This window comes from Homo sapiens, chromosome 4 (genome assembly GCF_000001405.40).
Source record: "Homo sapiens chromosome 4, GRCh38.p14 Primary Assembly".
Taxonomy (NCBI): Eukaryota; Metazoa; Chordata; class Mammalia; order Primates; family Hominidae; genus Homo; species Homo sapiens.
The window spans coordinates 55,845,366-55,862,697 of record NC_000004.12 but is presented as its reverse complement, the minus strand read 5'-3'; the positions used below and the strand labels follow the sequence as shown (position 1 = coordinate 55,862,697).

The 17,332-nt window shown below is 39.2% G+C and overlaps 1 protein-coding gene across 9 annotated transcripts in view, besides 2 other annotated features; it reads right to left on the bottom strand.

Moving 5' to 3' along the window:
- Positions 1–9,050, bottom strand: part of EXOC1 (exocyst complex component 1) — a 51,439-nt gene extending 42,389 nt beyond the window's left edge. For 5 of the 9 annotated variants that reach the window (XM_005265747.4, XM_017008405.3, NM_001024924.2 and 2 more), the window contains exons 1-3: positions 8,745–9,050; positions 4,251–4,384; positions 2,157–2,287 (exon numbers count right to left, since the gene is read on the bottom strand). In XM_005265747.4, coding sequence (XP_005265804.1) covers positions 2,157–2,287; positions 4,251–4,374 — 255 coding nt within the window. In that variant the 5' untranslated portion in view covers positions 4,375–4,384; positions 8,745–9,050. The remainder of the gene's footprint in view (positions 1–2,156; positions 2,288–4,250; positions 4,385–8,744) is intronic. The other 4 variants (XM_005265748.2, XM_017008406.2, NM_018261.4 and 1 more) reach the window with 1 other exon arrangement.
- Positions 1,438–2,637: an enhancer, noted in NCBI's record as "CDK7 strongly-dependent group 2 enhancer chr4:56726227-56727426 (GRCh37/hg19 assembly coordinates)". NCBI's record gives its function as "activates an origin of replication core promoter dependent on BRD2, BRD4, P300/CBP, MED14 and CDK7 cofactors, with strong dependence on CDK7, by STARR-seq in HCT116 cells {active_cell/tissue: HCT116}" and the evidence as "EXISTENCE:reporter gene assay evidence [ECO:0000049][PMID:35650434]".
- Positions 9,159–9,258: a silencer, noted in NCBI's record as "silent region_15445". NCBI's record gives its function as "represses an Ori minimal core promoter by ATAC-STARR-seq in GM12878 lymphoblastoid cells {active_cell/tissue: GM12878}" and the evidence as "EXISTENCE:reporter gene assay evidence [ECO:0000049][PMID:35858748]".

The window sequence follows — 17,332 nt, the reverse complement described above, 5'->3', positions numbered from 1 at the left end:
AGGACTTGACCTTTGGTACAACAATCATATTACAGCAGCATGGAACTACTAATTAGTTCAATTTATAGCTTAATAAACAGAATTGAAGCGTCAAAAATTTAAAACCTGCATATACAATGAAAAGGTAATTGCATTATTACTTACAAAAAAACACAACAAGAGTATTGGCAACCAATATGAAACTTGATGGGAAATAATCTCTTCCCTGGGAATATTTCCCATAATACCATAAAAGAAGCTGAGTGCTCCAGTGGCAACACTCACAAATCAATGTGTGATACTAAATGGCTAATGTTAAGTTATGTATAAAAATTTTATGTTTTATATCCATATATAGCATACACACACCAAGGTGCCTACATAAAATGCAAAAAAAAAAAATCCATTAAGCAAGTCTGCAAGAGGCATCAGCTGTGAGAATGCATTCAAATAAGCATTCAGCAATGTTACTGAATTATGCAAGTCAACAGGGTTACGAAGTGCAAAACTACTGAAGGGAAAAATGTTTTTTAATAAAGGTGCAGTTTTAAAAACCCTTAAAGTGTTTTGTCTTAACAGAAAACAACCAGAAAAGTTTCCACTCTTGATCCCTCCCCATGGTAATAAAAATTACTTACAGAAGTTTTTTTTTGTTTTTTTTTGTGGAGACAGAGTCTCACTCTGTTGCCCAGGCTGGAGTGCAGTGGCGCAATCTCGGCTCACTGCAACCTCTGCCTCTCAGGTTCAAGCAATTCTCTTGCCTCAGCCTCCCAAGAAGCTGGGACTACAGGCGTGTGCCGCCACGCCCAGCTAATTTTTTGTATTTTAGTAGAGACAGGGTTTCACTGTGTTACCCAGGCTGGTCTTGAACTCCTGAGCTCAGGCAATCCACCAGCCTCGGCCTCCCAAAGTGTTAGGATTACAGGCGTGAGCCACCACGCCTGGCCTAAATTATTTTTAAACATCCCATTATAATTTTCTTTCCAATCTCTAGCTTTCTAAATTTCTGTCAAATCCTGTTTCTACATTTCACATTTTTCTAAGCATTGGGTGCTCCTTAGGGATAAAACAAAGGGCCAGTAAGCCTAGAATACTTAAAGAAAAGGCATGATTTACATTTGGAAGAAATCTGAATTATACAGATATAGAGGGCTCTCCTCAAATTGTTCTTACTTCATTTTTTTTGCACCCAACTCAACTACCTGTCATTTTGTCCAGATTTTTGATCCTTGGAGGTTTGTACCAAAGTAAGGGTAAAATCAGAATTTTATTTTAACAGATTGCTTTACACAGGCAGTTTTTTTGTTTTTTGTTGTTTTTACTTTGTGCCTTTTTAGTAAATGTATGAGATTTGTAGAGTCAAAGAGCACCTGTAGTTTCACTAGTATAAGCCTTGCTATTATGTTCATCCCATCGACATACAAGTAGTTGTGGTACAAAGTATTCTCTTGTGCTATGGAGGTGTGTTAGGGCTGCAGAGAAAGATGAAGGGCAGAGTGAGAGAGGGCCAGGGGGAGGAAGCACCTAATTTAATCAAAGGAGGCCAACTTGATTGCTTTGAAAAAAGGGTATTGCTGTGAAAGCTTTGAACTGTCAGGAACATAGGTGGTCCTTTAATGTGATTATCACATTAATCACCTTTCTTGGAGTTTGAGTGTGGTTTATCTATAACGTGTAAGTTTATATCTTCATAGATCTTATTATCTACATTCCTTAAAATAAGGTATGTAACCCACTATCATTTCTTTTTTTTTTTTTTTGATCCACAAACATCAAAGCCATGGTGGCCTCAAAAGGCCAGTCTGGCTGCCCCAGCTGGTGATTCTATGTTTACTCATGAAGACTAAGGAAGGATCACTTTGGTTATATGATTTTGATTAAACAAACAAACAAACAAGCAAAAAAAACTCATGACACACCACTTTAAAATCCATACTATGTATAGATTTTATACAAATTATACTTAATCTAAACACAGAAATGTATACAGTCAAAGTAATTTTTCTCTAGTTTATGTAGCTTGTGCACAAACATAATTATAGCTTAAAAAAAGCAAAAAAATAAGAAAACAAACATATATATTAATTTGTTTTTAGATCATTTTAGAATATGTAATACCATGTTATAAAATGAAAGATGCTTTCTGAACACAGGTCAAAGAACTGAGAAAAACCTACTTTGATAGCATCTTTGGCATCTACCACAGCAAGATCTCGAAGGGCCCATGCAATCTGCCTTTTGTAGAAATCTCCCTTATCGGATTTCTTGACTTTGACCACCTTAACCTGCACAGGGCGTTCAGTTGTCACTGTTGAGTAAAACGCACACTTTTATTAGAAATATTACCCCTTTCACTCATTCTTCATTCACTCATTGCAAGTATAGCTTTCAGGTGCCTAGTAGCTGATACTAAAAGAGGTGTAATACTTTGCAACAAGTGCTATGACCGAGGAAAGCACAGAATCCTAATAGAAGCATCTAAGTCAGACTAGAAGATCAGAGGAGATTCCTTGAAAAATAAAGGAATGATATATTAATAATAAATTCAGACCAGTTTTAAAGAAAAGTATGAGGTAAAAATCTAAAGAATGATTGACATAAGTAAAGTCTGTGAGGCTTGAAAGAGCAAAATACCATTTCAAAGAGCAACAATACATTTATATATAAAGTTCTTACTATGTTGCCCAGGCTGGTCTTAATTAAACTCCTGGGCTCCAGCGATCTGCCCACCTCAGCTTCCCTAAGTGCTGGAATTACAGGCATGAGCCACTGCTCCTGGCCTAAGAATTTCTTTATAGCAATGCAAGAATGGCCTAATACAAATACATTACGATTGAGTGAGGTCATTCTAAAAAGTCAATTTATCATTTCAAAAACCAAGTACAATTATATACTACACTAACAAGGAAGAAAATTTTATGATATCAATGATATGAAAAAGCAGTTGATAAAATTCAACTCCCATTCATGATTTTTTAAAAAAGTGTAAGAAACCAGGAATAGAAGGGAACTTACTTAACACTGTAAAGTATAGCTATAAAAACCCTATACCAAATACCATGCTTGAAAATGAAGTCATTCTCCTTGAGATGGAGACTGTATTGATAGTCCTAACTAGGAAACTAAACCAACAAAAATAAAAGATATAAAAACTATAAAGGAAGGAAGAAAAATATCACTACTTTCAAAAAGTCTACATATAATTAGAATTAATAAGAAAGTTTGGCAAGATTGATAGACATCCATATAAAACACCAACAATTCATTGTAGAATTCTAACAATATATGATTTTAAAATGTATTAATGTTAATAAGCGCTTTCACGACTATCAAATAAAATCTAAGAATAAACCAATACTCAGGAGTAAATCCAAGAATATACATGACAAACCTTTAGAGAAAATGATGAAACTTATAAAGTTAAAAAACACCTAGATAAATAGAGAACTGTACCATGTTCATGGACACAAAGATTCAATACAATAAAAATGCAAGTTCTCTCCAAATTGAACTATAGGTTCAAAACAATTCCAATCAAAATCCCAACAAAGTCTGAAACTCGACAAGTTGTTTCTAAAATTTAGGTGGAATAAAGAACAAAAACAAAATAAAAATAACATATAAGATGACAACCAGAAATGCTCACACACACCATGACAGATGTCAACACAGGTGAACTAAGACTAAACTGTAAAAGGCAAAATTATAAAACTTTTGAATTTAGGAAAATATTTTTATGACTGCACAAAAGATACAGGGAAGGATCTTTTAAGACACCAAAAGGGAAAGCCATAAAGGATTAATTAATTTCATTTAGTTTAAATTATAAATTTCATTAACAGGCATCATAAAAAGTGAAAAGACAAGCCACTAACTGGGATGCATACAACCAACAAAAGGTTGATAACCAGATTATAGAAAGAACTTGTACAAATCAGTAAAAGGACAAGCAACACAACAGAAAAATGAGTAAAAGGCTTAAACAGGTAAATTTCATACACAACAGAATGAAATGACTAAGAAATTCATGAGAAGATGCTCAATCTCATCATTATAGGGAAATATAATTTAAAACCACAATGAGATACTATTTCACTGCCACCAGATTGACAACAATTAACAGCCTGTCAAAGCCAAGTGTTAACTAGGAATGTGTTGACCCAACAATTTTTCCAATTACAGAGACAATGAGGATATTCAAAACAAAGAGGAAATATCTTCTAAATAATAAAAGGATACAAAACAAGTACTCTTTCTTACTAAATACCCACCTGTGGCACATAAAAAACAGTTCTTTTTCTTTTTTCCTGCTTTGCAGACATTCACAATGCTCAGCAGGCGTTCATCATTTGGTGTAAAAATGTCTCTTTGTAATGCATGCTTGATTGCTGTCATCTTTTCTCAGCTGAAAAATGTGGAGTATAGATATTAAGCTCACCCTCAACATCATTCCATCTTATACTTCTGAATTTATGATTTGAAAATAATTTTTGGTTAACAAGCCTAGGAAAAATGATTTAATATATGAATACACCTATATCACAAAAATACAAAGCTGTAAGTTTGGAAATAAAATTAGAGAACCAGTGTTATCAAACTCTAAAATGTTTGGAAATGCTCACCAAGTATACACACACACACAAGATTTAAGAAAAAAATCTTCAACCCACTGCTCAAACTTTTAATATAGTTTTCTACATAAAGAACCCTTACAACAATAAGAAGACAAATAACCCCATTAAAAACTGAATAAAAGACCTGAACAGACATTTTTCCAAAGATATACAAATGGCCAATAAGCATATGAAAACATGCTTAACATCACTGGCCACTAGGGAAATGCAAATCAAAACCACAATGAGGTATCAACCACTTTACACCCATGAGGGTGGTTAAAATAAAAACGATAGAAAATAACAAGTGTTGGTGTAACAAGTGTTGGTGAAGATGAGAGGAAACAGAACTCTCATACATTGCTGGTGGGATTGTAAAATGGTGCAGCCACTTTGGAAAACAGCTTGGTGACTCCTCATAAAGTGAAACATGGGCTACCTTATAATCCAACAATTCCACTCCAGGAGAACTGAAAACATATGTCCACACAAAAATTTGTACATGAATGTTCATGGTAGCACTATTTGCAATAGCCAAAAAATGGAAATAACAGAAATGTCCATCAAATGATACATAAGCAAAATGTGGTATATCCATACAATGGATTATTATTCGGCTGCAAAAAAAACAAAGGGCCGGGCACGGGCGGTGGCTCACGCTTGTAATCCCAGCTCTTTGGGAGGCCGAGGCGGGCGGATCAAGAGGTCAGGAGATCGAGACCACGGTGAAACCCCGTCTCTACTAAAAATACAAAAAAATTAGCCGGGCATGGTGGTGGGTGCCTGTAGTCCCAGCTACTGGGAGAGGCTGAGGCAGGAGAATGGCATGAACTCGGGAGGCGGAGCTTGCAGTGAGCCGAGACTGCGCCACTGCACTACAGCCTGGGAGACAGAGCCAGACTCTGTCTCCAAAAAAAAAAAAAAAAAAAAAAAAAAAGAAAAAAAGGAAATGAAGTAATGAAACATGCTAAAATATTGATGAATCTTGAAAAGATTATGCTAAGTGAAAGGAGTCAGCCACAAAAGACCACGTATTGTATGATTCCATTTATATGAAATATCCAGAGTAGGAAAATCCATAGATACAGAAATATAAGTGGTTTTCGGGAGCTGGAAGGGAAGGTGGAAACGAGGATTGACTGTTAATGGGTATGGAGTTTCTTTTTTGGGGTGATGACAATGTCTTTCAACTAGATAGTAATGATGGTTATACAACCTTGTGAATATGCCAAAAATCACTCAATTATACAATTGAAAAGGGTAAATTTTATGATACATAATCTCAATAAAACTGTTATAAAAATAGGTTTCCACTTATCTCCTTTTTCTTATCTAACTCAGCATCTTTTCAAACATCAACTTAAAATAATTTTAAATCTCTATTTTATTTTTCATATACATATTTGTGTGGATATGTATTACAATTTTTCAATGCAAATGTGTAGTATTTCATACATGTGAGCTTGCCTAGGACACTAACTTCTAAAACACTATTTCTTTCTATGGGAAAATGAAGAAATCATGATTTTTAAATAAATGATTTACAACGTATTTTTATAGCACAATGACTATTTTGTAAAACAAGTCTTTCCAATATTTTACTCAATCTGTAAAACTTCTATCTCTGCTCCAATTCCAAAAATTGCTTTTCTCATAAAATTCACATCTTCCCACTTCCACTTCATCTCAGCCTCTAGTCTTCTGACATTGCCCTTCTTTCTGTTCTCTTAATCTGGCCTCTCCAAGTTTACTTCTTTTCCAACCTAGCCTGGAGACAGTGCTCATTTCCCTATACCTAAACTATCCCCTACAATTATTTCACCCTGTTTGTAGACCAGCTGATCTTGTTTTTATCAATCTCCATAAACTGTATTATTTTCTTCACTTCTCTTGGACTACCAAATGCCACTTTCAAAAGCCACATATCCACGCTCATTGCGTGCATTACAAATATCTACATCCAGTGAAAGTTAGACTTTCAATGCTGCTCGGCAATTAATCCCTCATTTGATGATTCCTTTTTCCGTTCCCCATGACTATTGTTGTAAATCCTTATTACTCTCCTTCAGTTTCCAGGTCTAGCAGTTAGCCTCCTCCCGCTCTGCAAATGACTTAACAATCTACCTTGCAGAGGATATAAAAGCCATGAAATACAATTATCCCCAATTGCTTGCTTCTCCGTCTCTCCACACCTTCACCCAACCTCTCCTCCTTTTGGCTTATTATAGAGTGTCCATGCTGCTAATCCCTTAATATGTTGTAGGGCCCAGACACTATGTTATATTTCTTCCTAAGCCCAAGCCACAATGGCACTGGCCAGTTTACTTTTCTATCTCTGGGCTTTTGTTCATGCAACCTTCTTTTCCTAGAATTCTCTTCTCCCTAGGAAATTACAATTCATCCCTCAAGATTGTGCTAAAATGTCATCTTTTCTGTAAAGTAGCCCCCTCCCTGCAGCCGCCCCACGCAAAGAGTAATTTCTACCTCTCTAACACTTCCCCTCTACTTCATAAATACGGCATTTATGAATTGTATTTTCTAGCTAGCTGTATTTTATCCCCTATTAAAAGTAGGACCATGTCTTAATCATCTTTGTATTCCTAGAACTTGACAAACTAGGCATTTAACAAATGCTTAAATTCACTAACATGACAGCTATAGCTCCTCCAAGATTCCCCTTTCCTAACTTTCACATCTATAAGCAAATGTCCAGGTTCAAAATCTACCATATTTGCTTCCCTATTCCCTTATCAACATGAAATCTGCTACCACATTCTGCGATTTCCCCCCATCTACATGTAATTTATTCCTTTCTTTTCGCACTGCAAATATACTGACCCAGGTTCATATCAACTTTACTTAACCCTACAAAATCTGGTTCTCTTTGCAAGGTCCCACAACCCTGAACAACAAGATAATTTTAAAAGACAGTTTGTATCACATCACGCTTTTACTCAACGTTTTCCTAATGTTCTCAAAAACATTCCACTCCAAACACTCTGTTCATTTTGGACATCAAATCTTCACTTTGGTACTTTCCATGTAAGGAATATCATCTCCGCCCTATCCAAACCCTAATTACACTTCATGGTTTACATGAAGTTGATTCAATGAAGATCTTAATCCAAAGTGATCTCTCCTCTAAATTTCTACAGCACTTACTGCATTTGCCGTCTAATGGGCTCATTAAATCATAAGCTTCTCTATCTCAAGAATTCTCTTAAAGAAGGGAGGGATGTTCATCATAGTTTTGTGTTTAGTGGATACTTAAATATCTATTAAGGTAATTAGAACTGAATAGTAAAAACTGGTCAAATGAATAATAGGGACCAACGTTTACCACATACTCCTTCTCTGGCTAAAAGCAACTGAGTGTACAGTAAGAGGCAAAACAAGACAGGATTGGGCATACCTCATAAAGGAGTTAGCCATAATGAAAAGCAGTATGTGACTCTTCATTCATTCAGCAAATACTCATGCTTATTAGGTGGCAGACACTATTCTAGGTTACAGTAGTCAACATGACAGATATGTTTATGAAGACCTGAAGCCGGGTGTTTCTATGGCATTTACATCCTAAGAGTCGAGTGATTAACTCTTCAGTCTTTACGGTACTTTTCTGAAAGTCAGTAAATAAATCCCTAGAGGTCCTCTAAAATTATTCTCCAGGTCTGAGAACCCATATCTGACCACGTTCCAAAGGCAGCCATCCACTGCTTACTCTGTACTGGTTGTTTCCTTCAGCTCAGTTGGACCACCACACTGTGTGACAAATAGCCTGTCAGTGTGAGTGCCCGTGTGCATTGGGCCCTGTATGCTGCTGAGATATATTAATGCATGAAGCATTGCCATCTAGAAGATATAACTGTGCAAGGAAATAGAGAAATACACTTAAGAGATTTGGCGGGGGGTGGGGGGGAGTTGGGGTTGGGGGGCCGGGATGTGAATTTGGACAAAGAGGAAGGCACAGTCACGCTCTCCTCTCCTGGACCACGCCAAAGAGCTTACGATCAGGGTCATTTTGCACAAACAAAATCTGGTTCCGATGGGCGGAACCGTAATGGGGCCCGTGAGGACTGCCCTCCCAGCTCCGCATTCTCCTAGACCCGAGGACAAGGGACTGGAGAATGCTCTGACCAAACTTCGTCTTACCGGGACAAACGGGGAAAGGAAGGTCAGAAGGAGCGGTGCCCGACCCCAGGCGTGGAGACAGCAGCCGGACTGAGGAGCCGCCTTAGACCCTGGTGCCTGTCAGCTCGTCTGTCCGCCGCCGCCGGGACTACCGGGCAGCCGCGGCCGAAGGCTTACCGCAAGGCCGGACTGAGCCTGGCTGTGCCGAGGCGGGTCTTCCAAAACGGAGACCGGATGGGGGCCACTAGGATACGCCCCTCAATAAAGCGTTGAACGGGAAGCGGCCGTTCCCCCAACACTTCCTATATCCGGGCACGTGACAAACTCCGCGCCGGAAGTTGACCGCGTAGAGAAGGAAGAAGCAGCGATGGGAGAAAAAGGGAGCGGCCAATAGACGCGGAGGGGCGGGGCGCCAACCGACGGGCGTGGCCAGGCGGAACAAGGCCTCATTGGAGGGGCGTGTCAGGGAAGGGCAGGGGCGGGGCCTTTGTGGCACAGAAACTGACTTGGGAGTTGGGGATTAAGAGTTATTTATTCAGATATTTGCAGCAATTCATTTAAGAAGAAATTCGATTAAATGTTTTCTTTTTTCATACGTAAAGCTCTATTAACTCTAGATCTTTGCTACTTAAACTTTGGAGAGCTTAAATGAGTTAAATCAGAATCCCTGCGGGTGGGACCCAGACATCAGTACTTTTAATATCTTCCCAGATGATTCTCATATGCAGCTAAGGTCAAGAACCATTGTCCTCATGACCTTGATACTCAAAGTGTGGTCCGTGGATCAGCTGCTTGGGTATCATCTGGGGGCTTTTTAGGAAATGCAGCCTCTCTGGCTCACTTCAGATCTACTGAATCAGAATCTGCATCTTAGCAAGATGATGCTTATGCATATTTAAGTTTGGGATGCATAAATGATGCCAATGTTGCTGGTTGCAGGTAGGTGTTTTATTTATTCAATATTCCTGGCACCTTTTTTTTTTAATGCTAGGCACTTTGATTCCAGGTACAGAGGTGATTCAGGCATGAATCTTAACCTAAAGGAGTTCACAGTGTGGTAGGACTAGACAAGGTGTAGGTACAAATATATATAAAATAGGACACAAAATAAGTGACCAAAGAGAGGTACAGATCAGATAAATGTGCTAGAAATTTAAATGAGCAAACAGTAGTTAGAATACTTTTCACTTTCATCAAATGACTTCCCTTTTAAGAGCAGGATCTGGTTATATCTTTACAAAGACCCTTTCCTGCTTGGCACCGGAATGCTTACTGTGGACACTCTATGACAATTGCATGTGTTTTTTGGTCCTATTATCTTTCTTTTATTTACCTGTATGTTTATAGCCCTCCTCAAAGTTGGGAAATGAATTGCATTTCAGAAGCCTAGATCTCTTTCTTGAACCTCAAGATTTGTGTATATACTGCCCATCGCCTGACATTTCCACTTGGATGTCTTATAGACACCTCAAACTTGTGTGTCCAAAAATTAAATTATCCTCTCTCCTCTTGGATTCCCTGCAAAGTGACACTTATATGCAATAGTTTATTTGGAAATTTGATCCCAGGGAGCAAAATGAGGGAAGAGGAAGAAGACAAAACAAAAAGGGAGATGCAGTATAAGAATGTGTTACTGAGTTGGTCATCACCATATTTGAATGTTTTCTTAGTCCCTTAGGACCTTCTAAGAAGCTTTATGAAATGAGTCTCAGAACTGTCCATTAAAGGAAAGAACGGAGGAAGCATTTGTATGTCGGCTCCTGTCCTCTTTGATCGAAGGTTAATGCCCTTGGGCATTAACTACTTCACACTTACAAATCGCACAGTTGTGAATGCCAAGCTGACTCCCACATCAGAGACATGCTGGGGCAGGAAGTGAGAGGAGAGGTGCTGGTATTTCGCACTTGTTCAAAGGTCATCAAACCTGCTCCGAGCAGGTTGCTGCAGCAGTGGTTAGAATAATAGGCTGAAGGGATTTGAAGTCATGGCCTAAGTTGCACAGAAGGACATAGAAGGTGTCCATATCTTGCAGCACTCTGATCTGCCTGTGTGCTCTGTTATGTTCAGTCCTTCACAGAGGTCTCTTCAAGGTGATGGCCAGCCACAATCTCAGCAAAGCCTTAATATAAGAGAGTTAATAGAATAAGCTTCAGTTTTTACTGCTGCATCAATGTCAGGACCATACTTGTATTAACTCCCTCTTCCACTACCCATTCTAATTTTCCCTCACCATTGACCAGCACATCAGCTGGTCTAAGTTGTTTCTCTGGTGAAATAGCCCCCACCTTCAGCCTTTATTTTCCTTTCTCTGGTTAAGCCATGATTGCTGTAATTACCTGTTCAAATTATCCCTGGGTACAGAAACACCTAGTAAGCCCCAGCGAATTATTTGGATTCCAAATTCCTCCCTAGTGCTATTGTGGAGCAACAATCCTAGATCCTTTTGCTAATCACAGTTGATTACTCCCACGAGCATAGTAACTCCTTTCTTTGCCAGCTTGTCCACTTCCGTAAGAAGCACAAGGTAACTAAGTAAAAGTTTGAAGTGCAATGAATTCCATAGTGTTTATCCTGGTGGCAGCATTCCCCACTCAACTCCTGAAGAACCAATTATTGCAATCTAGCAAATACTAATTTTTTTTTTTTTGAGACAGAGTCTCGCTCTGTCACCCAGGCTGGAGTACACTTACATGATCTCAGCTCACTGCAACCTCCTACCTCCTGGGTTCAAGCAATTCTCATGCCTCAGTCTGCATGGCTTACTACCATGTTGCTTCCAAGTCTTTGCTCAAATGTTACCTCACTGAGGCCTTCCAAGAGAACCCTATGTAAAATAGTTCCCCAACCACCCTCCTCCCAGTATTTTTTATCTTCCTTTTTTACTTTTGTTCTTCATGGTTCTTGCTACATTTTGACATATTGTATATGTTGTTTGTTCATTTGCTGTTTCTCTAGAATGAAGTTTTATGAAAGCAAAGATTTTTATCTGTTTTTTTCAGTGATGTATCTCTGATTCCTGGAACTCAGAATAATATCTAACAATTACATAGCACTTATTATGTGCTATGTACTATTCTAAGCATTTTACATGTATTAATTAACTTAATCATCACAACTACCCTGTGAGGAAGGAATCTTTATTATCCTCATTTTAAAACCAGAAAACTGAGGAACAAATTGTCTAGTCCTAGGACACGTGGTATACCATGGTAGTCTCTCAATGAATATCTTTATGTCATCACAGCCTACTGCATGAAGTAGACTTAAGAAGCAACATGAAATAATGAAAAGTATATCATTACTGGAATTGACACAGGAGTGGGGCAGGGAAGTGCTGGGAAGGGAAGGACGTGGGCCCTGGCTAGGGCTCCACCACTGGGCCTGTGCCCATGGACCTAGGTGAGGACAGGCACTCCTGCCTTCCTGCCCAAATGTTGCATTTTCCAAGACCACCCTGGCCTGCCACACCCCTGCCTTGTGCCTATAAAAACCCTGAGACCCTAGCAGGCAGAGACACAAGCAGCTGGATGTTGAGAAGAACATATTGGCGGAAGAACACACAAGCGGCTGGACGTGCATAGAAGCGTGCCAGGGGAAGAGCACACAACAGATGCAGGCAGGCCATCAACAGGCAGGCCATCCACCGGCAGAATGATGCAGATTTTAGCCCCAGGTGGTCAGGGGAGATCTGGGCTGCTGAGCAGCCCGACTCCAGGGAAAAACCACCTTCCCACTCCATCTGCCTTCTGGCTTCTCCATCTGCTGAGAGCTACTTCCACTCAATAAAATCTTGCACTCATTCTCCAAGCCCTCACGTGGGATCCGATTCTTCCGGTTACACCAAGGCAAGAAACCTCAGGACACAGAAAGCCCTCTCCTTGCAATTAGGCAGGAGGTCTAATTGAGCTAGCTAACACAAGCCATCCGGATGACTAAACTAAAAGAGCACCCTGTAACAAACGCTGAGCAGGGCTTCAGGAGCTGTAAACGTTCACCCCTATACGCTGCCGTGGAGTCCGAGCCCCACAACCTGCCCTTCTGCATGCTCCCCCTAGAGGTTTGAGCAGTGGGGCACTGAAGAAGTGAGTGACACCCCCATCGCATGCCCTGCGATGGGGATAAGGGAATTTTCCTGTTTCGGAATCACACAGACCAGGGGTTCAAATCTGGTCTTTACCCTTTACTGAGTCAGTGACCACAGGGCAAGTTACTTAACTCTTCAGAGCCTCAATTTTCTCATCTGTATATAAAAAATAGTAATCCCATCTTGGGCATATTTGCTAAGATGTTTCTTGTAAAGCACTTGTCTCATTGCTTGGCACACAGTATAAGCATTCAATAAATGGTAGCTGTTATTACATGCAGATTGGTTTAGTAGATTAAATTGGGCAGATTTACCTACTTGAAAAACATGTAATAGTCACCCAAGGAGGTTCTGCCCAAGGAGGTTCTGAGGTCCCGCTTCCTTTACATAGAAAGAAGGCTGTATATATTAACATGTATCACATATGAGGGAATCTCATACTTACATAGCATGAAATAACTTTTCCATTGTTAGTAAGCTCCAAGGGAAAAGTCTCTTCTAAATGGTGAAGAGTAGTAAATATTGATGATTTATAGAAGTTAATTGTTTCCTCAGAGAAATCGCTCTTGTTACTGTGCACCAGTAAAGCAGAGGCCTGAAGATTGTAAAGACTTCATGTTCTTCTCAAGACCTGAATCCATTTTGCACCTTTTGAAGGGGGAGGGAGACCATCCTTTTCCTCAGCTTGAACCCCTGAAGGAGGAAGGGCAAAAGTGCCCCACTCCCTCTAGGGCTGTCTCTGATGACATCGGTGGTAGCTCCACTGGCTTTGAGGACATTGTTTAGTGAGAAAACTCATAGATTTCATGGAAGTGGACTTTCATATTTCATATTTGGATGCCTCTTTTACTGGCATCCAAACTGTCTTTTGATATCAGTCTGATTAATTTTAATTTGGGTATAAAGCTAAGGGATCTTCAAATGTTTAAAATGTTCAAATGTTTAAAATCATGTAGATTTATATAATTTCAATTTGAAATGTGACATTTTAAACATTTGACATTTATTATGACACTTACTTTGATTTTTCTCTTCCCTATTTCTTAGCATTGTTTTCTTATAATTTAATGATGCATGTTCCTGTCTAAGAAAGGAAGAACTTTTTTTCAGAGATGTAAGACTATTAGTATCAACACAAAGAACACCAAGTAACTCTTTGTGGGGGTGGGGGGTGGACAATGAGAGTTACAATGCTGCACTTCCCAGATTCTTTATTTTCTTTTTCGTTCTGTTTTTTCTGGAGACAGTCTTGCTCTGTCACCCAGGCTGGAGTGCAATGGCGTTAGCTCACTGCAACCTCTGCCTCCCAGGTTCAAGCGATTCTTCTGCCTCAACCTCCTAAGTAGCTGGGACTACAAGCACATGCCACCATGCCTGGGTGATCTTTTGTATTTTTAGTAGAGATGGGGTTTAGTAGAGATGGGGTTTTGCCATGTTGCCCAGGCTGGTCTCAAACTCCTGGGCTCAAGTGATCTGCCCACCTAGGCCCAGATTCTTTATTTTCTAAATATCTTTAACAACTGCAGCAAGGAAGAAATGTCTCTACTGTTAAATACATAAAGCAATTGGTGTTTGTTTTAGGTTTTGTTAGAAATAGATGTAAATATCCCCACGTGATACTTTCCATTTCTTTGTAGCTTTATGGGAGGAAGTCAGGGAGTCACTAAATAAGGATGGTAATTACCTGTATCAATATTAATTAAGTAAATATTATAAATAAATATTAGTTAGATAGTAGATGCACATTTGACATCATTATTGGAAAGTAATATAATGTGACATACAAATAAATATAAGGAAGGCAAAGATTGGCTTGCAGAATCACATTGCGTCTCAATGCTTTTCTTATGCAGCTGCCTTATTTAATATACATATTGTAGAGTGATATTACAATAAAGGGCAGTCATTACAAATGCACAGTGCTGAACTCCGTATACACATTCTAGGAGATTCTCTCAGAAGTGCAGAAATCATCTCTTTTTTTTTAATTTTTTTATTTTTTATTATTATTATACTTTAAGTTTTAGGGTACATGTGCACATTGTGCAGGTTAGTTACATATGTATACATGTGCCATGCTGGTGTGCTGCACCCACTAACTAGTCATTTAACTTTAGGTATATCTCCTAATGCTCTCCCTCCCCCCTCCCCCCACCCCACAACAGTCCCCAGAGTGTGATGTTCCCCTTCCTGTGTCCATGTGTTCTCATTGTTCAATTCCCATCTATGAGTGAGAACATGCGGTGTTTGGTTTTTTGTCCTTGAGATAGTTTACTCAGAATGATGATTTCCAATTTCATCCATGTCCCTACAAAGGACATGAACTCATCATTTTGTATGGCTGCATAGTATTCCATGGTGTATATGTGCCACATTTTCTTAATCCAGTCTATCATTGTTGGACATTTGGGTTGGTTCCAAGTCTTTGCTATTGGGAATAGTGCCGCAATAAACATACGTGTGCATGTGTCTTTATAGCAGCATGATTTATAGTCCTTTGGGTATATACCCAGTAATGGGATGGCTGGGTCAAATGGTATTTCTAGTTCTAGATCCCTGAGGAATCGCCACACTGACTTCCACAATGGTTGAACTAGTTTACAGTCCCACCAACAGTGTAAAAGTGTTCCTATTTCTCCACATCCTCTCCAGCACCTGTTGTTTCCTGACTTTTTAATGATTGCCATTCTAACTGGTGTGAGATGGTATCTCATTGTGGTTTTGATTTGCATTTCTCTGATGGCCAGTGATGGTGAGCATTTTTTCATGTGTTTTTTGGCTGCATAAATGTCTTCTTTTGAGAGGTGTCTGTTCATGTCCTTCGCCCACTTTTTGATGGGGTTGTTTGTTTTTTTCTTGTAAATTTGTTTGAGTTCATTGTAGATTCTGGATATTAGCCCTTTGTCAGATGAGTAGGTCGTGAAAATTTTCTCCCATTTTGTAGGTTGCCTGTTCACTCTGATGGTAGTTTCTTTTGCTGTGCAGAAGCTCTTTAGTTTAATTAGATCCCATTTGTCAATTTTGGCTTTTGTTGCCATTGCTTTTGGTGTTTTAGACATGAAGTCCTTGCCCATGCCTATGTCCTGAATGGTAATGCCTAGGGTTTCTTCTAGGGTTTTTATGGTTTTAGGTCTAACGTTTAAGTCTTTAATCCATCTTGAATTAATTTTTCTATATGGTGTAAGGAAGGGATCCAGTTTCAGCTTTCTACATATGGCTAGCCAGTCTTCCCAGCACCATTTATTAAATAGGGAATCCTTTCCCCATTGCTTATTTTTCTCAGTTTGTCAAAGATCAGATAGTTGTAGATATGCGGAGTTATTTCTGAGGGCTCTGTTCTGTTCCACTGATCTATATCTCTGTTTTGGTACCAGTACCATGCTGTTTTGGTTACTGTAGTCTTGTAGTATAGTTTGAAGTCAGGTAGCGTGATGCCTCCAGCTTTGTTCTTTTGGCTTAGGATTGACTTGGTGATGCAGGCTCTTTTTTGGTTCCATATGAACTTTAAAGTAGTTTTTTCCAATTCTGTGAAGAAAGTCATTGGTAGCTTGATGGGGATGGCATTGAATCTATAAATTACCTTGGGCAGTATGGCCATTTTCATGATATTGATTCTTCCTACCCATGAGCATGGAATGTTCTTCCATTTGTTTGTATCCTATTTTATTTCATTGAGCAGTGGTTTGCAGTTCTCCTTGAAGAGGTCCTTCACATCCCTTGTAAGTTGGATTCCTAGGTATTTTATTCTCTTTGAAGCAATTGTGAATGGGAGTTCACTCATGATTTGGCTCTCTGTTTGTCTGTTATTGGTGTATAAGAATGCTTGTGATTTTTGTACATTGGTTTTGTATCCTGAGACTTTGCTGAAGTTGCTTATCAGCTTAAGGAGATTTTGGGCTGAGACAATGGGGTTTTCTAGATATACAATCATGTCATCTGCAAACAGGGGCAATATGACTTCCTCTTTTCCTAATTGAATACCCTTTATTTCCTTCTCCTGCCTAATTGCCCTGGCCAGAATTTCCAACACTATGTTAAATAGGAGTGGTGAGAGAGGGCATCCCTGTCTTGTGCCAGTTTTCAAAGGGAATGCTTCCAGTTTTTGCCCATTCAGTAGATATTGGCTGTGGGTTTGTCATAGATAGCTCTTATTATTTTGAGATACGTCCCATCAATACCTAATTTATTGAGAGTTTTTAGCATGAAGCGTTGTTGAATTTTGTCAAAGGCCTTTTCCGCATCTATTGAGATAATCATGTGGTTTTTGTCGTTGGTTCTGTTTATACGCTGGATTACATTTATTGATTTGCGTATATTGAACCAGCCTTGCATCCCAGGGATGAAGCCCACTTGATCATAGTGGATAAGCTTTTTGATGTGCTGCTGGATTCGGTTTGCCAGAATTTTATTGAGGATTTTTGCATCAATATTCATCAAGGATATTGGTCTAAAATTCTCTTTTTTGGTTGTGTCTCTGCCAGGCTTTGGTATCAAGATGATGCTGGCCTCATAAAATGAGTTAGGG